This window comes from Homo sapiens, chromosome X, assembly GCF_000001405.40.
Source record: "Homo sapiens chromosome X, GRCh38.p14 Primary Assembly".
NCBI classification, from domain to species: domain Eukaryota; kingdom Metazoa; phylum Chordata; class Mammalia; order Primates; family Hominidae; genus Homo; species Homo sapiens.
In genome coordinates, this window is record NC_000023.11 from 65,018,353 (window position 1) to 65,038,817 (window position 20,465).

Below are 20,465 nucleotides of genomic sequence, written 5' to 3' on the forward strand. Positions count from 1 at the left end.
TGGACAGTGGGTGCAGCCCATGGAGGGCAGGACGAAGCAGAGTGGGGTGTTGCCTCACCTGGGAAGCACAAAGGGTTGGTGGATTTCCTTCCCCTAGCCAAGAGAAACCGTGAGAGACTGTACCTTGAGGAATGGTGCACTCTTGCCCAGATACTGTGCTTTTCCCACAGTCTTCACAACCAGCAGACCAAGAGATTCCCTCCGGTGCTTACGCCACCAAGGCCCTGGGTTTCAAGCACAAAACTGGGCGGCCATTTGGGCAGACACTGGGCTGGTTGCAGGAGCTTTTTTTTTTCATATCCCAGTGGCACCTGGAATGCCAGCGAGACAGAACCGTTCACTCCCCTGGAAAGGGGGCTGAAGCTAGGGAGCCAAGTAGTCTGGCTCGGGAGGTCCCATCCCCATGAAGCTGAGCAAGCTAAGATCCACTGGCTTGAAATTCTCACTGCCAGTACAGCAGTCTAAGGTCGATCTGGGACACTCAAGCTTGGTGGGGGGAGGGGCGTCTGCCATTGCTGAGGCTTGAGTAGGCAGTTTTCCCCTCAGAGTATAAACAAAGCTGCCAGGAAGTTTGAACTGGATGGAGCCCACCTCAGCTCAGCAAGGCCACTGCGGCCAGAAGGCCTCTCTAGATTCCTCCTCTCTGCGCAGGGCATCTCTGAAAAAAAGGCAGCAGCCCCAGTCAGGGGCTTATAGATAAAACCCCCATCTCACTGGGACAGAGGACCCAGGTGAGGGACAGCTGTGGGCGCAGCTGCAGCAGACTTAAATGCCCCTGCCTGACAGCTCTGAAGAGAGAAGCAGATCACCCAGGACAGCATTCAAGGTCTGATAAGGGACAGACTGCCTCCTCAAGTGGGTCCCTGACCCCCATGTATCCTGACTGGGAGACACCTCCCAGCAGGGGCCGAAAGACACCTCATACAGGAGAGCTCTGGCTGGCGTCTGTCAGGTGCCCCTCTGGGACAAAGCTTCGAGAGGAAGGAACAGGCAGCAATCTTTGCTATTCTGCAGCCTCTGCTGGTGATACCCAGGAAAACAGGGTCTGGAGTGGACCTCCAGCAAACTCCAGCAGACCTGCAGCAGAGGGGCCTGACTGTTAGAAGGAAAACTAACAAACCAAAAGGAATAGCATCAACATCAACAAAAAGGACGTCCACTCAGAGACCCAATCCAAAGGTCAACAACATCAAAGACCAAAGGCAGATAAATCCACGAAGATGGGGAGACCAGTGCAAAAAGGCTAAAAATTCCAAAAATCAGAACGCCTCTTCTCCTCCAAAGGAACACAACTCCTCGCCAGCAAGGGAACAAAATTGGACAGACAATGAATTTGACAAATTGACAGAAGCAGGCTTCAGAGGTTGGGTAATAACAGTCTCCTCTGAGCTAAAGGAGCATGTTCTAACCCAATGCAAGGAAGCTAAGATCCTTGAAAAAAGGTTAGATGAATGGCTAACTAAAATAACCAGTTTAGAGAAGAACATAAATGATCCGATGGAGATGAAAAACACAGCACAAGAACTTCATGAAGCATACACAAGTATCAACAGCTGAATCGATTAAGCAGAAGAAAGGATATCAGAGATTGAGGACCAACTCAATGAAATAAAGCATGAAGACAAGATTAGAGAAAAAAGAGTGAAAAGAAATGAACAAAGCCTCCAAGAAATATGGGACTATGTGAAAAGACCAAATCTACGTCTGATTGGTGTACCTGAAAGTTACAGGGAGAATGGAACAAAGTTGGAAAACACTCTGCAGGATATTATCCAGGAGAACTTCCCCAACCTAGCAAGGCAGGCCAACATTCAAATTCGGAAAATACAGAGAACATCACAAAGATACTCCTTGAGAAGAGCAACCCCAAGACACATAATCATCAGATTCACTAAGGTTGAAATGAAAGAAAAAATGTTAAGGGCAGCCAGAAAGAAAGGTCGGGTTACCTACAAAGGGAAGCCCATCAGACTACAGCAGATCTCTCAGTGGAAACCCTAGAAGCCAGAATAGTGTGGGGGCCAATATTCAGCATTATTAAAGAAAAGAATTTTCAACCCAGAATTTCATATCCAGTCAAACTAAGCTTCATAAGTGAAGGAGAAATAAAATACTTTACAGACAAGCAAATGCTAAGACACTTTGTCACCACTAGGCCTGCCTAACAAGGGCTCCTGAAGAAAGCAATAAACATGGAAAGGAACAACCAAAACCAGCCACTGCAAAAACACACCAAATTGTAAAGACCATTGACACTCTGAAGAAACTGCATCAACTAATGGGAAAAATAAGCAGCTACCATAATGACAGGATCAAATTCAAAGATAACAATATTAACCTTAAAAGTAAACGAGCTAAATGCCCAATTAAAACACACAGACTGGCAAACTGGATAAAGAGTCAAGTCCCATCGAAGTGCTGTACTCAGGAGCCCCATCTTATGTGCAAAGACATAGATAGGCTCAAAATAAAGGAATGGAGGAATATTTACCAAGCAAATGGAAAGCAAAAATAAAGCAGGGGTTGCAGTCCTAGACTCTAAGAGACTTTAAACCAACAAAGCTCAAAAGAGAAAAGAAAGGCATTACATAATGGTAAGGAATCAATGCAACAAGAAGAGCTAACTATCCTAATATATATACACCCCATACAGGAGCACCCAGATTCATAAAGCAAGTTCTTAGAGACCTACAAAGAGACTTAGATTCCCACACAATAATAGTGGGAGATTTTAACACCCCACTGTCAATATTAGACAGATCAATGAGACAGAAAATTAACAAGGATATCCAGGATTGAACTCAGCTCTGGACCAAGTGGACCTAATAGACATCTACAGAACTCTCCACCCAAAATCGACAGAATATACATTTTTCTTAGCACCATATCGCACTTATTCTAAAACTGACCACTTAAATGGAAGTAAAACATTCCTCAGAAAATGCAAAAGAATGGAAATAATAACAGTTTCCCAATCCACAGTACAATCAAATTAGAACTCAGGATTAAGAAACTCACTCAAAACCTCACAACTATATGGAAACTGAACGACCTGCTCCTGAATGACTATTGGGTAAATAACTAAATTAAGGCAGAAATAAAGATGTTCTTTGAAAACAATGAGAACAAAGACACAACATACCAGAATCTCTGGGACACATTTAAAGCAGTGTGTAGAGGGAAATTTATAGCACTAATTAAATGCCCACAAGGGAAAGCAGGAAAGATCTAAAATTGACACCCTAGCATCGCAATGAAAAGAACTTGAGAAGCAAGTGCAAACAAATTCAAAAGCTAGCAGAAGACAAGAAATAACTAAGATCAGAGCAGAACTGAAGGAGACAGAGACATGAAAAACCCTTCAAAAAATCAATGAATCCAGGAGTTGGTTTTTTGAAAAGATTAACAAAATAGATAGACCACAAGCCAGACTAATAAAGAAGAAAAAAGAGAAGAATCAAATAGCTGCAATATAAAATGATAAAGGGGATATCACCACCGATCCCACAGAAATACTAACTACCATCAGAGAATACTATAAACAACTCTATGCAAATAAACTAGAACATCTAGAAGAAATGGAGAAATTCCTGGACACATACACCCTCCCAAGACTAAACCAGGGAGAAGTCGAATCCCTGAATATATCAGTAACAAGTCCTGAAATTGAGGCAGGAAATAATAGCCTAGCAACCAAAAAAAGTCCAGGTCCAGACGGATTCACAGCCGAATTCTACCAGAGGTACAAAAAGCAGCTGATACCATTCCTTCTGAAACTATTCCAAACAATAGAAAAAGAGAGAATCCTCCCTAATTCATTTTGTGAGGCCAGCATCATCCTGATACCAAAACCTGGCAGAGACACACAAAAAAAGAAAATTTCAGGCCAATATCCCTGATGAACATCAATGCGAAAATCCTCAATAAGATACTGGCAAACCAAATCCAGGAGCACATCAAAAAGCTTATCCACCATGATCAAATTGGCTTCATCACTGGGATGCAAGGCTGGTTGACCATATGCAAATCAATAAATGTAACCCATCATATAAACAGAACCAATGACAAAAACCACACGATTATCTCAGTAGATGCAGAAAAGGTCTTTGACAAAATTCAACACCCCTTCATGCTAAGAACTCTCAATAAACTAGGTATTGATGCAATGCATCTCAAAATAATAAGAATTATTTATGACAAACCCACAGCCAATATCATACTGAATGGGTAAAAACTGAAAGCAAAGTCTTAGGATACAAAATCATTGTGCAAAAATCACAAGCCTTCCTATACACCAATAACAGACAAACAGAAAGCCAAATCATGAGTGAACTCCCATTCACAATTGCTACAAAGAATTAAAATACCTAGGAATACAACTTAAAAGGGATGTGAAGGACGTCTTCAAGGAGAACTACAAACCACTGCTCAAGGAAATAAGAGAGGACACAAACAAATGGAAAAACATTCTATGCTCATGGATAGGAAGAATCAATACCATGAAAATGGCCAAACTGCGCAAGGTAATCTATAGATTCAATGCCATCCCCATCAAACTACCAATGACTTTCTTCATTGCTTCTTTTTATCAGGTTTGTCAAAGATCAGATGGTTGTAGATGTGTGGTGCTATTTCTGAGGCTTCTGTTCTGTTCCATTGGTCTATATATCTGTTTTGGTACCAGTACCATCCTGTTTTGGTTACTGTAGCCTTGTAGTATAGTTTGAAGTCAGGTAGCATAATGCCTCCAGTTTTGTTATTTGTGCTTAGGACTGTCTTGGCTATGAGGGCTCTTTTTTGGTTCCATATGAAATTTAAAGTAGTTTTTTCCAATTCTGTGAAGAAAGTCAATGGTAGTCCTGAGACTTTGCTGAAATTGCTTATCACCTTAAGAAGATTTTGGGCTGAGATGATGGAGTTTTCTAAATATACAATCATGGCATCTGCAAAGAGAGACAATTTGACTTCCTCTTTTCCTAACTGAATACACTTTATTTCTTTCTATTGCCTGATTGTCCTGGCCAGAACTTCCAATACTATGTTAAATAGGAGTGGTGAGCAAGGGCATCCTTGTCTTGTGCCAGTTTTCAAAGGGAATGCTTTCAGTTTTTCTCAAAAGAAGACATTTATGCAGCCAACAAACATATAAAAAAAAGCTCATCATCACTGGTCTTCAGAGAAATGCAAATCAAAACCACAATGAGATACCATCTCATGCCAGTTAGAATGGTGATGATTAAAAAGTCAGGAAACAAGAGATGCTGGTGAGGATCTGGAGAAATAGGAATGCTTTACACTGTTGGTGGGAGTGTAAATTGATTCAACTATTGTGGAAGACAGTATGGTGATTCCTCAAGGATCTAGAACTAGAAATACCATTTGACCCAGTAATCCCATTACTGGGTATATACCCAAAGGATTATAAATCATTCTACTATAAAGACACGTGCATACATACATTTATTGTGGCACTGTTCACAATAGCAAAGACCTGGAACCAACCCAAATGCCCATCAATGATAGACTGGATAAAGAAAATGCGGCACATATACACCATGGAATACTATGCAGCCATAAAAAAGGATGAGTTCCTGTCCTTTGCAGGGACACGGATGAATTTGTAAACCATCATTCTCAGCAAACTAACATAAGAACAGGAAACCAAACACCACTTGTTCTTATTCATAAGTGGGAGTTGAACAATGAGAACACATGGACACAGTGAGGGAAACAGTACACACCGGGGCCTATCGGCGGGTGGGGGGGCACTAGGGGAGGGATAGCATTAGGAGAAATACCTAATGTAGATGATGGGTTGATGGGGGCAGCAAACCACCAGGGCATGTGTATACCTATGTAACAAACCTGCATGTTCTGCACATGTACCCCAGAACTTAAAGTATAATAAAAAAAAGTTTACCATCACTAGTCATCAGAGAAATGCAAGTCAAAACCACCATGAGATACCATCTCACACCAGTCAGAATGGCTATTATTAAAGTCAAAAAACAACAGATGCTGTTGAGGCTGCAGAGAAAAGGGAACACTTATACACTGTTGGTTGGAATGTAAATTTGTAAATTATTAATAGTTCAGCCCCTGTGGAAAACAGCTTAAAGATGTCTCAAAGAAGTTAAGGCAGAGCTACCATTTGACACAGCAATCACATTCCTGGGTATATACCTAAAAGAATATAGATCATTATATGAAAAAAACAAACAAACAAACAAACACATGCACTTGTATGTTAATCGCCACACTATTCACAATACCGAAGACATGGAATCAATCCAGGTGCTCATTAATGGTAGATGGGATCAATTAAATGTGGTATATATACACCATGGAATACTACACAGCTATAAAAAATGACACCATGTCTTTTTCGCAACATGAATGGAGCTGGAGGCCATAATCCTAAGTGAATTAATGCAGAAACAGAAAACCAAATACCACATATTCTCACTTGTAAGTTGCCGCTAAACATTGAGTAGACATGAATGTAACCATGAGAATAATATACACGGTGACCTGCTAGAAAGGGGAGAAAACGAGAGGGGCTTGGGTTGAAGAACCACCTATTGAGTATTATGCTCATTACTTGGTCTAATATATCCACATAACAATCCTACACATGTACTCCCCGTATTTAAAATAAAAGCTGAAAACAAAATAAAATAAAATTCAACTGAAAGAAATTGCCTGTGGAGAGAGCAGTTGAGCTGTCATATTTATTTTCTAAAAGCTTCATGAAATTCCAAATCCATGGTTTTTTTGTTGGTTTGTTTTTTGCTTTTTTTTTTTTTTTTTTTTTGAGTCACGGTCTCGCTCTGTCAACCAAGCTGTAGTGCAGTAGCACAATTACAGCTCACAGCAGCCTCCACCTCCTAGGCACAAGCCATCCTCCCACCACAGCCTCCCAAGTAGCTGGGACCACAGGTGATCACCATGTCTGGCTAGTTTTTTTAAATATTTGGTAGAGACTAGGTCTCAGTATGGTGCCCAGGCTGCAAATCTTTACTAGTTCTGTGCTGCTACTATTGGCACTTATCAAACATCCATAATCGTATTGCTTTCCTTCAGATTTTGAATTCTCCAGACTTTGGTTATCTAAATGGTAATATAAACATTTCTCCTACCATTTAAATTCCTGCCACAACAAGATGTGATCTGTCTGGAGAAATATACCACTCCTCAGCTCCGAGTGAGAGAGTGGGATTAGGGAAAGCAAGATGCCATCCCTCCAACCAATGCCCCAAAATATGCAAACCAAAATCATTTTTTATCCATAGAGTCCATAAGGAGAATTTTGCTTTCTCCATGTGGAACTCTGCCTTGTAATCTAGCTTAAGTGCAGCTCTCCTCTTCAGTCTACATCCCCCAGGGATCTCTTACTTCAGGAGAGAATCTCTTCCCCTCTAAATACCAGCTGCAACTCTGATTACTAAACATAGGATGCTGCACAAAATATTTTCTGTGTAAAGCTATGGGAAAATGTGATTAAAAAGTGGCTCACTTGAAGCCTTAATGAGGTTCCCTAATGGCATTCCTGTCCCCAAGCTCAAATCCAAATGTTACGGTCCTCTGACCCAGCCACATAACACATAAATCTGAATTGATGCCAGTCTGCTTAGGTACAGAGAGAGAGAGCATTGCTGAAACTGCCTCAAGGTAGGCCCTGGCCCTCTTACAGTATCCACCCACAGGGACAGAGGAGGAATAGGAATGGAAGGACCACGAATGGGCATGAGACCTATTTGCAAATATCAACCCCACCCTTTATTAAATCTGACCTAATCAGTGTCATGCCATCTGACCTATAATAGAAATATTTCCCTTTGGGGAGGAAGGAATGAAGGGCAGAGTAGAAATATAGGTACCTTCCAGATACAGGAAAAGGGCCATTACAAATATAAATTATTCAGGCAAAATGGTTGTGGAAAGAACTACTGTTTTTCAGGCAAAGGGAAAAGAATAAGCAAAGATGCAGAAGAGCTAAGCAGTTTAATATGGGAGAGCAGAATGTTTGTACAGCTATTCAATTCAAACTAGCTTGAGCAACGAAAGGAATTTAGCGGCCGGGTGCGGTGGCTCACGTATGTAATCCCAGCACTTTGGGAGGCCGAGACAGGTGGATCACGAGGCAGGAGATCGAGACCACCCTGGCTAACACGGTGAAACCCTGTCTCTAATAAAAATACAAAAAATTAGCCAGGCGTGGTGGTGGACGCCTGTAGTCCCAGCTACTCGGGAGGCTGAGGCAGGAGAATGGCGTGAACCCGGGTGGCAAAGCTTGCAGTGAGCCGAGATCGCACCACTGCACTCCAGCCTGGGCAACAGAGCGAGACTCCGTCTCAGGAAAAAAAAAAAAAGGAATTTAGCACAAGGATAGAGAAGTGTCTTATGGAACCCAAAAACAGGAAGGCAGGTGGGCTTCAAGGAATAAGCTGCAGCTAGGAACTCAGCTGCTATCTGGACACTCTCCCTCTTTCACTGCTGCATCTCTCTGTGTTTCTGCCTCATCTTTTATAGCAGACCAGCATTTTCTTTTTCCCCAGACCATATGGTAGAAAAGTTGCTGCTGCCAACAGCTATGAAGTTTATACTGCTCAGCATAAGAAAGCAACCAGACCACGATGAAATATCTTAATCTAGATTCCAGACTCCCAAGGAAGGACTATAATAGTTCCAGATTGGTTAACTGTGGCCAACGGGTCACATAACATTAAAAACTTCTACAGTAACATTAGGATGGAAGTGATGGAAAGAGAAGCTCCAAGAAGGGTGATGCTCAGCACAGAATTGCAAGTAGTATTAGATTCCTGAGCATGAAGTAGAATGTAGAGAATGGTAGGGGATATGGCTGGAAAAGAGACAGATTATGAAAAGTAATGTGGAGCTTGAAGTGTAATCAATAAGGAATGGGGAATAGATCTGAAACGTTTTTAGCAGGGAGAGAATTTGGTAAGGTTTGCATTTTTAGATAACTTATTCAAGAGGCAGTGCAGAAGATGGTTTGGAAGAGAGGTAAGAATGAAGGTAAGGAGCCTGATTAGGAAGTTGCTGAAATACTCCTGAAAAAAATTAGGAGGAAATAAATAAATTAAGGCAAAATTGGTGGTGGTGCAGGTGTAAAAGAATGATGAATGAATATGAGAGATATTTAGGAGATAGAATCAGCAAGGCTTATTAACTTAGTTAGATGTAGGAGGTTAGAAGAGAGAGTCTGAGGTGACCTTTATGTTTTTGGTTTGGGAGACAAGGTAAAATACACCTACCCAGAGAGGGACAATAGGACCGTTGGGGGCCTACCAAACTTAGAAGTGCATCCACTCTTGGGATTAGATCATACTTTGCTTTGTTTGGTCTCAGTGAGACAGAAATTTCAGCACACCAAGAGACAGAGATCAGGCAAAGGGTTTCATGTGTCCTTTATTCGCTATTGAATATAATGCCAAATGAGGTCCAGATCAACCTTCTGTTTGAAGTGGGCATCTTCAGTTGTCTGAATTGTCTTGATTCCAGAAGATGACATTCGTCATGCGGGAATTGAAGGCATACTACAAAGGAGATTTTCCTAAAGCAGAGATCTGAGCACCTGGAAGAGCTGAAGAACTACCAAATGGCTATTCCAAGAGGCAGATAAAGTGGTTTTTATCCCTCTCTGCCTCCTTTTTCTTTACTTTCAATAGGAAGAAATCTGAGTGAAGTGCAGTTATAATTTCCTTTTGTCCTATTTCAGACACAAAAAGATATATACCTCCCTAATCTATGTATATATATTGATATCTATCTATATCTGTCTAGCCAGCTATCTAGCTAGCTAGCTAGCTAGCTGCTATAATCTAGTAGAATTCCCAGAGGGCTTTTAAGAAGAGGATATACAAATTCATCCATTCATTTATTCAACAAAGATTTATTGAGAGCCTACTATGTGGCAGGTACTATTCTAAGCATTAGAGATACAGCAGTGAACAAAGTAGGCAAGAATCCCTGTCTTCATGAAGTTTCAATTCTAGTGATTCAACTTATTCTTCCTTGGTGCATATATGCAGCTTATTTTTCAGGAAAAGTACAGAAGTCTTGGCTTGAGTCACATAAAATGATCATAATGCAGTCATTTCATCTGTTTCTGTGAGAAGGTGAAATCATTATGTGACAATACCAGGGTCTCCCTTTGGGGATTTTTTTTTTTTTGAGACAGAGTCTTGCTCTGTAGCCCGGGCTGGAGTGCAGTAGTGCCATCCTGGGTCACTGCAACCTCTGCCTCCTGGGTTCAAGTGATTCTCAGGCCTCAGCCTCCTGAATAGTTGGGACCACAGACGTGAGCCACTATGCCTGGCTAATTTTTGTATTTTTAGTAGAGACAGGGTTTCACCATGTTGGCCAGGCTGGTCTCAAACTCCTGATCCACCTGCCTTGGCCTCCCAAAGTGCTGAGATTACAGGCATGAGCCACTGTGCCGGGCCTCTCTTTGGGGAAATTTTTTTGGGGAATCTACCCCAACAAAGACAAATAACCCATTAGCATGGGAAAATACATTCAAGCATGGACAGGTTGAATTTGAACTGCTTGGGTGGCATCCAAGTCAGGATGTTGAGTGGACAGTTGGACCTATTTATCTAGATCTCAGGACGGTGGTCTGAGCTAGTAATATATATTTTAAAGTCATCCATGTGCAGGTAATAGAGCATGGAGAGTAGAACAAAAGAAATAGGCCAAGAGTGGAACTATGGGAGGGGGAAAACTAACGTTTTAGGGGTAGGTTGAAGGAGAAGTGTCCATGAAAGTTACATAAATAAAAAATATAAAGAGGAAGGAAAAGAACAGAGAATGTATGTCTGGAATCAAGTGGAGCAGAAACTTTCAAGCAGACCCAAATGATCAATACTATCATATGTAGCAGTGAGGTCCAATAACAAACATACTGAAAAGTGTCCATTGCATAGGGAAATTTGTCAGTAACTGGTGTTCTTAACAAAATAGGTTTTAGTGGAGAGGTAGAGGTTAAATCCCTATTACAGTGGTTGGAGGGTGAATGGGAAGTGAAGAAATAGAGGCAGTGAATGTAAGATAACCACTTTTGAGACCTCTGGGTGAGAAGGAAACATGATAGGGTAACAGGAGACACTTCTAGGAAACTGAAGGAGGCTCCAGGATCACAGGAGAGTATGTCTTTTAAGAATGGAAGAGTCTTGAGTATGTTTACAGGCTGAGGAGAATAATATAGTTGAGACGGACAGTTGTAAGGTACGTGAGATAGAAAGAAAAAGTGGGTAAGACCTCTGAGGTGCTAGATGAGACAAAGATCAGGAGCTCTAATAGGAGATTTAGTCTATGTGAGACTGGAGGAATAAGGGTATAATATGGGAGCAGATGCAGATTGTAGGTGAGAAAAATTCCTGTAACCTGCAATTTTTTTAAGGAACATAAGGTAATAAAGTCACCAGTTGGGTGGCAGATTTGCTGTGTGAAGGATGAGGTCATCTGCCATAGTGGAGAATGGTTAAAGTTTGGAGAAATAGCTGAGGGGAACTGGAGAAGGACTGACCAAAAAAAAAAAGGATTGCCAAGTAGTTCGTAGATGAGAAACTAAATCTGTGGCAACATCAATTTGCGTTAAAAGGTCATAGTGATGTTCTTCAGAGGAGCTTAAATGGAAACAGTGAACAAAAGATGAAGATCTATAGCATACAGACACAAAGGGTTCAAGTGTTTGAAATTCTAGGAATTACTTCAATTCTGGAGACTCTTTATTTTTTTATTTTTCTTTTTTATTTTTTGAGACAGGGTCTGGCTCTCTTGCCCAGGATGGAGTGCAGTGGAGCAATTGCAGTTCACTGCAACCTCTGTCTCCTGGGCTTAAGTCATCCTCCCACCTCAGCCTCCCGAGTAGCTGGGACTACAGCCACATGCCACCACACCCAGCTAATTTTTGTATTTTTTTTTGTACAGACCGGGTTTTGCTACATTGCCCAGGCTGGTCTCGAGCTCAAGCAATCCACCTGCCTTGACCTCCCAAAGTGCTGGGATTACAGGAGTGAACCACTGTGTCTAGCTGACCCTTTATATTATATGTCAAGACAAACTCATTCAAGGAGCTTTCTCAGAAACTTTACTCAAAGTCTATTTCCAATCCTATATCCTCCTCCACAAATACATCTGTCAATTTATGATTTCATTTATGTAAATTATTTATTAACTTGTCTTCTTGCATCATTAGATTATAAGCTCTTTGGGGCTGGAGCACTGTCTAATATTTGTACTAGACTCCTAAACAAGTAATAGTACCTTGCCTTTGACAAAGACTCTCTGCTTGACCAAATTTGAGTCAGGTCCTTGTGAGCCTTCTTCTCAACTAAGCTTGGCTTGCTTAGTTCAGTTTTAGCAAGAATCCTGCTGAGTCAGTTTAGTGGAAGTCCCCTACCCTTGGTATCTGATCATTCTGGATATCTGATTAGATATCTCATCTCCCACCCCTGATATCTTATTACCCTGGTCTGCCTTTAGCAAGATTTCCATCATGTTGGTTTAGCAAGAATTCCCCTAGACTTAATGTTTCCTCTTAGTAATTTTCCAATAATTGATGCCTCCACTGTGCTCCTTGTTTATAAATTCCCACTTATAAATGTTACTCCCTCCCTTGTTGGACTCAGAGTTGAGCCTCATCTCTCTCCCCTACTGTAAAACTCCATAATAATAATCCTCCTTAAATTAAATCTTTCTTACCATCTTTAACAAGTATCATGAAAAATTTTCTTTAACACCGTATTTAGCCATGAGATATAGACCTTTTCCAAACTTTGGCATGGCATACAAGGCATTTCATAATCTTTTGCTCAACCTACTTCTCTATATTCAACTCCATTACAACTTTACACTTCCCAGCCCATAAATACAGATAAAATATGCATAAGTCACACTTTTCTACTTTTGCTGAACACATCATGCACTTTCAAATTTTCTGGGCTTTTGAATATACTTTTTCCTTTGCATGGGATATTTTTATCCCCTTTTGGCAAATTCCCACTCATCTGTTGACATCTTCTTCTATGACTTTATTTATTCAAGGAAGACCTACTCTTGATTTACTAGGTGCATCTACTGTGCCAGCACAGAGTTCTGTTTTTGAAGAACTCACTGATTTGTAATTGTAAAGGTAAATGAAGGTGAATAAGGAAAAAAAAAAGAAATGAAAAGAAGGTGAATAAAGAGAAATATATTATTTTCTCCTCCTTAGCTTCTTAATGTATCTCCTTGGGGGACAGAGTGAACCTTTATCCTTTCTCTAACTTTTGGAATGTAGATAAATCTCTCCAGAGACTACAGAGTCTCAGTCTCCAGTTTTATAATGCACACATATTTCCAAGGTCAAGGTCACATTTCTCTTTGAAATGTAAAGACATGTCTTCAAAGTTAATGTAGGAGCCCATCTCAAGGTGTAACCATTTGTCTTTCAGGAAGACTAGAGGTATCTTTAGGGAGGTAAGAAAAGTTTTATTATTCTGTTGGAAGAATTCAATTAACTAAACAAATAGCTGCCTCAATTCTCAAGTGGACTGTTGCAATATATAAGTTGTATAGAATTTTATTTTGAATTTGCAGTCTCTTGAAGGCTACTTATATGCATGTACTCTGTTGTGCTTACTCAATAATAAATCAGCTTTCTTTTTTTTCCATATTGATATAGAGAGGTCTGTTTGTTGTAGGAGTTTTTACCTTTCTATCGTAGTAAAGGCAGATGCACTGATGTGGGCAAAGGAGCTCAGATTTTATCTTGAAACCCCAGGAAAGATATTGAAGGAGTTTAAGTACAGCAGTGGCACAGTTCTTTATATAGAAAGGAACACAGAAGAATTAAAGATGACTAGCAGCATTTTATATATGTATTTCTCTATACACTGATAAAAAAATGTGTGATAGAATGTGATTAGTTCAATAAGTGAACAGAGAATATAGGTTTTATGTGGTAAAATACAGGTTTTAGAAGATATAAGCAAATTTTGTAAAAAGTCTGTCCCTGTGAGTTACTGATGGTCATTAGAAAAGGCTGAACACTAGGGAATTGTTTTCCTTAGAACCTGAAAGGCATGTCTGTTCCATACGGAAGGAAAGGTATGAGCTGTGTGAGAACTCTATCCAAGCTCATTTCCACATTCATAATTGTAATATATATTCCCTATGTTATGGTCTTCCACATTGGTTCCAGCTTGTTGATGATCTCCAATCTGATACTTCTACTTAATTAGTTCTAGAGTGATTCACTCTTTTTCGCCTTTCCAATTGTTCTTCTCTTTCTTCAGTACTTTTTGGCTGGTCTGTATAAAGTTTCATTTTAGTTTGACAGTCCATTTGAGCTCTCCTCTAATGTTTCTTCTTTCTTTCCTTCCTTCCTTCCTTCCTTCCTTCCTTCCTTCCTTCCTTCCTTCTTTCTTTTTTTTGGGGGACGGAGTCTTGTTGTGTCGCCTAGATGGAGTGCAATGGTGCCATCTCGGCTCACTGCAACCTCCACCTCCTAGGTTCAAGTGATTCTACTGCCCCCGCCTCCCAAGTAGCTGGGATTACAGGCAAGTGCCACCACGCCTGGCTAATTTTTGTATTTTTAGTAGAGGAGGGATTTTGCCATGTTGGCCAGGCTGGTCTTGAACTCCTGACGTCAGGTGATCTGCCCACCTCGGCCTCCCAAAGTGTTGGGATTACAGGGGTGAGCCACCATGCCTGGCCCTCCACTAATGTTTCACTGGCACTTATTATAGGGCTTCTTAAAGTTCTTACACATGGCATAGCTATTTTTACACTTTCTAAAATGTTTAAATATTTTATTAAATAAACATCCAGCAGGGCACATTTTGTAAATATGTTTATACATTGTATTAAGTTTAATACAGAACCTCTAAACCTAATTTCAAAAAGATCAAGTAAATAAGCCCCTAGAATATCACACAAGTTTGTACGTAGCCATTGCCTACATGTCAATTCTCAGTGTCAATATTTTAAAATTAAAAAGTGTAGTTTTAGAAGAATCACTGGATATTTACATGTTAATTAACTGGAGGGTTTATGCAGATTTCTTACCCAGGTGAACCTTTGGGAAATATGTCTAAGCACTTTATAGATCTAGATGTGTCTCAGAAAAGGTAAAAACTGGTCTGTGGCTGGGTGCCTAAGGGGGTGTGGAAGGAGCTAGGGCTAGAAAAATAGAGGCAAGATCTTAGAGGACTTTGAATGTTAAGCTAGGGAATCTGTATTTTCTCCTTTATTATAGATAATGAATCTATTGAAAAATAACTCCAATTTTTACTAAGCGCTTACTCTGAGCCACAGTAAGTTATGTATGTTAAGTGCTTTACATTCACTTTTCCATTTAATCCTCATAACTACTCTATAGGTATTATAATTATCCCCATTTTACTGATAAGGAAACAGATTTAGACAGGTTAAGAATCTTAGCTCAGGCCGGGCACGGTGGCTTACGCCTGTAATCCCAGCTCTTCGGGAGGCGGAGGCGGGCGGATCACTTGAGGTCAGGAGTTCAAGACCAGCCTGGCCAACATGGTGAAACCCCGTCTCTACTAAAAATACAAAAATTAGCCAGGCATGGTGGCTTGCACCTGTAGTCCCAGCTACTTGGGAGGCTGAAGCAGGAGAATTTCTTGAACCCAGAAGTAAGAGATTGCAGTTAGCTGAGATGGCGCCACTGCACTCCAGCCTGGGCGACAGAGTAAGACTTTGTCAAAAAAAAAAAAAAAAAAAAATTCCTAGTTCAAGGAAACAGAGCTACTTGGTGGTGGAGCAGAAATTCAAACTTGGCTGTAATTTCAAAGCCCATTCTCTAAGCCAGAAGGAAGTGAGATTAGATTTTCATTTGATCACTGGTAGAAGTATGAGAACAAATTGCAGAAAGACAAGTCTAAAGGCAAAGAAACCAGAGAGTATGCTGTTGCAGTAGTCAAGAATTGTTAGGCCCTATTAAGGGAGGTGACCCTTAACCACCTGAGTTATGCAGACGAGTGACATAGTCAGAGAAGTTATTTAGAAAATTACCCTGGCAGCCCTTGTGAAGGATGAATTGGAGGAGCCAAGACAAATACGTAGGCAAATAAAATAAAAACAAATAAAAGACAAATAAAAGGCAGTGAGACAAGTAGTGAGGTTGTTGGGACTGTCACTCTTAACCGCAGAGGTGCCTGTCGAGGGGCTGGGAGACGGTCGTATCCCAAGTCCTCGGGCCTATCGAATTGCAGAGCATCCTGGACCTCTCCTCACCCACGCTTACCTTCACGTCGCTCCTTCTAGGCCTTAGGAAGTGGGGTTTTGAGCACTTTCTAGGTCGTAGGCCTGCTGGTCTGAGCTCCGACAGCGGCGCCAGCGGTGGCAGCAGTCGCCGACAGGGGTGGGGCGCATGCGCACAGTTGCTAGGCAACGGCGGCCGGGCGCCGCGGCGATAACCGCGCCGGGGCTGTGTGTGTAGGCAGAGGCGCCAGAGGAGGAGGAGCAGGAGGATGCAGCTGCGACCGCGGCCCCAAGAGGGAGCCGCCGCTGCTCTGTGGCCAGGGGGGCCCAGGGACTGGAATCAGGCCTGGGGGTCGCATCGCTGAGGGGACTGGTAACGGCGGTCCCTCCAGAGGCTCAGGCCTAGTACCCCAGGAGGGTCCGGGCCGCTGGGCGAGCGCCTTCCCCCCATCGCCTCCCCTCGTCCCTCCACGTCGATGGTGGTGAAGTTGGCGGCGCCACGGAGCGCAAGGCACCAAGCTGTCTCCCTTGCACCCAGCTCCTCTCTGGCCCCGGCTGTTGGACACCTGCGCCGCCGCCTTCTCTCGCCCGCCGAGCCCACCCCCTGCGGCGGGCGGGGGAGGGGCTCCCCCCTGCAGGGGCTGCGTCGAGCAGGGCGACGACGGGGACCATAGGAGAGTAGGGGTGAGTAGTGGCACCGCACTCGCTCGGTTCTAGTGCGCCTTTCCGGCCTCCGTGGCCCCAGGAGGCGAGCGAATCGCTGCTTTCTCCTGCAGAAGCTTCTGACGCCTCTCCCACATCTGCTCGCGGCTCTCTATTCCCTTCGAGGTAGTTTTCCTTCTCATAGCCACCACTTTTTGGTCTCAACCCTGGCGTCCAGGAATGCGGGGTGGGTGCTTAAGGCCTGGCTTTGCTTCTTAGATGCCATAGATGCTGATAATTCTACGTACAGTCACGCAGCCTGATTCCTGATTCGTGGACAGACTCTCCCAGTGCCGTGCTCGCCCCTTTCCCCTCGCTCTGGCTCTGGCTCTCGCTCTCTCAGGAGGCTCAGCCTGACCGCGGGCTTCTCAGGAGCCCATTCCCCGGGCTGCTGTCGCTCCATGCCTCAAGGTTTGAACACATAGCTGGAGTGGCCCCTTACTTTTCAGTGTTGTTGCTACTCGTGTGCTAAGACCTCCCGAAAGCCTTGTGCCTGGCTTCTGACTCCTGACATGTACGTTAGGAAGATAGTACTTATATTAAATAATAAAAATAATAAAACAAACACACACTCCATTTGACTTCTAAAGTGCTATCAAACTTGAGAAGTAGGCAGAATGGCTGATTCATAATAGGGGAAACTGGTTTTACAAACTACTTTTCATCCAGAATGGCATACTTCTTTTTTATTATAAATACGATGATGAAACCTAAAATATCCCCAATAAAAGCGAGGATGGGTTGTGATATATCTGTTCTTCCTGAGGTAGCCTGCAGTTGAAGATAGTCGGTTCCAGAAAACATTGGCATGAGGCACCGGAAGTGATATTCTGGACAAGGTGATTAGATGAGGTTCTAAAGTTGTGAGGTGCTTTTTTGAAAATTAGCAACATTATCTTTGATGAATGAGGTTGTTTTCTTAAAAGTAAGTGGTTGAAAAAACTTACAGTCCACAGATGACACCTATCAAAAGCATACTGAATTTAGATTAGTAATTTTGATTGTAAGATAGTTCTGTGAGCAGACAAAAGATGGGTTCTTTTCCCTCCCTATTGGTTTTTAAGCCATTTCAGGTTTCGTTTATCTGATAAGACGTGGCGAGAGAGAAGCGTAATAATGGAAAAGCTAAATTTTCTTTTTTTTGTAAATGCTTTTGAGCTAAAGATTTTTAAAAAGGATATATAGATGCCATTTATGATTAAATTTATTGGGTGAATCTGTCAAGACCGCAAACTTTGTTAGTTTGGGGTAAAATGCTTTGCTTTGGGAGCTTTCATGTTGTTTGAGGTTCTTTGGGGGTATAGTTTAAATTAAAGCACAATATAATTCTAGTACCACTGCAAAATAACCTCAGAGAGTATTGTTTGTTTTGTGCATTAGCAAGCTGACATGCTTCTAGTTGCTAGATTCCAAAGGTAATTTTTTTTTTGTTTTGGAAAAGCTTTTGATGAATTTAAGTCTGAATTATTTGAAATAATAGTGTATCATATGAATACTTGCTCTTCACCTTCACATACTTAGAGAACCCTGCAGTAATTTGAATCCAATCTAGTATTCCATTGAAGTGAGTATGACTATGAAGATGCCGCATACTCTTAAGAGCATTTACCTAGGGTGTCGTAATCACATTATAAAATAAAATTGATGGCTTATTTTGCAAATGCTATCAAAGCACTTGTTCAGTGAACTCTGGAATGAAGTTTTTTTTTTTTTTTAAAGTGACTTTCAACAAGTTTTTATTTTCTAGCTTCTAATGAATGCCTACTACTATACCAGGTATTGTGGAGAATAGAACAGAAACAGCAATTTACCAGTTGGGTAAATTGCTTACCCAATGGTAAATTACCGATGGGTAAATTGCTTAGCCATTGGAAAAAGGAAAATACATATATGAGACACCATGGTCAACAATTGGAACAGAGTCATATTGAATAAGGACTGAAAGAGTTAAGAGTAAAGGGAGAATACTGTAGGCTGGATTTTTCTGAGAAAGCTTTGTAGAGAAAGTCATACTTGATTTGGCTCTTAATAGAAGTATAAGCTTTCTTAGAAGGTGGAAGAGTTCAGCATAGCATGAGCTAAGGCACTTGATTTTCTAATCCTTTTGCATATTTTCTCCTAGGTAAACCTAAAGGAGAAGAGGACTGTCAGTGGCAATTAACTTCTTTGTAGTGGGCATAATTTTCTATGATAAACTACATACTAAATTAACAAATTAAATATAATTTCACAGATATACATGCTATAGAAATCAGGCTTTAAAATAATCATCCTATTTCCTGAGGCAAGTGAGAATGTTTTCTAAGCAGATATAGGTAGAGTGTTAAGTTCACATGTTTTTGTAACCTGTACATTTTTTTTTACTGTCTATTAAGAGACAGTTATATTCTAAGTGTTTCATACAACACTGGTCTGATAGTACATTAGATTATTAATATGCTCCAAAGACTATTTCTTGATAAAATAAATTAGGGAAATTTTATAAGCAACATTCATTTTGATTCATTAGTATATGATAACTTAGTTTTTAGTACTACATTTAGTACTGCTATTGCTACCATTTTCTGAAAACAAAGGGAGGGGTATGTCAGAGTCCCACAAATTCATATCTGTCAAAGTTCTAATATCATGTTATTAATGTATATATTAATAATTGACAACATCAATGTTTAAACTGCAATTACAAACCTCTGCAAAGCTTATTTTGGTACATTTCTAACAACCTTCCGCTATATTGAAAATTAGTCAGATGACTAATTGTCTCCTAGGTTTTAGTCAGCCATTGTAAGTTGACATTTACACAGAAAAATAACGAGGTATGGAGTTATTCCATCCGTAGAGAGGTATGTCTCCTAACAGAAATTCACATATTAGAATTCCAAATATAAAGAATTCACAGATTTACTCTGAGGAACAATATACTCAAACTTGAAATTTTTGAGGCTTTATACACCTTCTGTACCTTTTTTTTGGTATCTTTTGCTGCCAGCAGTAGTCTTCTTTGATTAAAGTTAACTTTAATTCACAGTAGCTAATAGTTTCTAGGCTCAACAAATATAATTGTTATTTTGAACATCCTCTGCTTAGCACATTAGCTATTAAATAAACAAGTTATTAGAGAACAGAATGGCTTATCTGGACACAGTCAGCAAATAGCTATGATTATTGCTGGAAATTAACCAGTTAACAGATAGCAAAATATATGGAGAAGGCATTGGAGTAAATCATTTTTGCTAAGTAACTATTGTACATTTCTGGTCTTATGACAGTATCAAAGGGATGATCTTTGGAAAGAGGAGGGAAACTGCCAAGAAAATTAAAATTACCTCGTATGTCAAATTGTAAGTACTGTGGCGATTTAAGGCAGGTACACATGTTAGTTAAATTGCTAAACCTCAGTGGTGGCAGCATGTAAAATAGGGTAAAGAACTGTCAGTCTCTGTTAAGTAACATAGGGTCATTCTCAATATTTTTACCTAATGACTGAGTCTGGAGGTAGGACAGTATTACATTGAGTACCACTGATGCAT

The 20,465-nt window shown here is 41.0% G+C and overlaps 2 protein-coding genes across 12 annotated transcripts in view, besides 3 other annotated features; one reads left to right on the top strand and one right to left on the bottom strand.

The window, feature by feature from the left end:
* The window catches only part of ZC4H2 (zinc finger C4H2-type containing), a 118,935-nt gene extending 102,546 nt beyond the window's left edge, over window positions 1-16,389 (bottom strand). For both annotated transcript variants that reach the window (NM_001243804.2, NM_001178032.3), the window contains exon 1: window positions 16,277-16,389. The gene's annotated coding sequence lies outside the window, so the exon portion shown is untranslated. The remainder of the gene's footprint in view (window positions 1-16,276) is intronic.
* Window positions 16,474-20,465, top strand: part of ZC3H12B (zinc finger CCCH-type containing 12B) — a 473,062-nt gene continuing 469,070 nt past the window's right edge. For 9 of the 10 annotated variants that reach the window (NM_001010888.4, XM_047442075.1, XM_047442077.1 and 6 more), the window contains exon 1: window positions 16,474-16,917. The gene's annotated coding sequence lies outside the window, so the exon portion shown is untranslated. The other variant, XM_017029479.2, reaches the window with a different exon arrangement.
* Window positions 16,502-16,651: a silencer, noted in NCBI's record as "silent region_20879". NCBI's record gives its function as "represses an Ori minimal core promoter by ATAC-STARR-seq in GM12878 lymphoblastoid cells {active_cell/tissue: GM12878}" and the evidence as "EXISTENCE:reporter gene assay evidence [ECO:0000049][PMID:35858748]".
* Window positions 16,712-16,941: a silencer, noted in NCBI's record as "silent region_20880". NCBI's record gives its function as "represses an Ori minimal core promoter by ATAC-STARR-seq in GM12878 lymphoblastoid cells {active_cell/tissue: GM12878}" and the evidence as "EXISTENCE:reporter gene assay evidence [ECO:0000049][PMID:35858748]".
* Window positions 17,042-17,101: an enhancer, noted in NCBI's record as "active region_29712". NCBI's record gives its function as "activates an Ori minimal core promoter by ATAC-STARR-seq in GM12878 lymphoblastoid cells {active_cell/tissue: GM12878}" and the evidence as "EXISTENCE:reporter gene assay evidence [ECO:0000049][PMID:35858748]".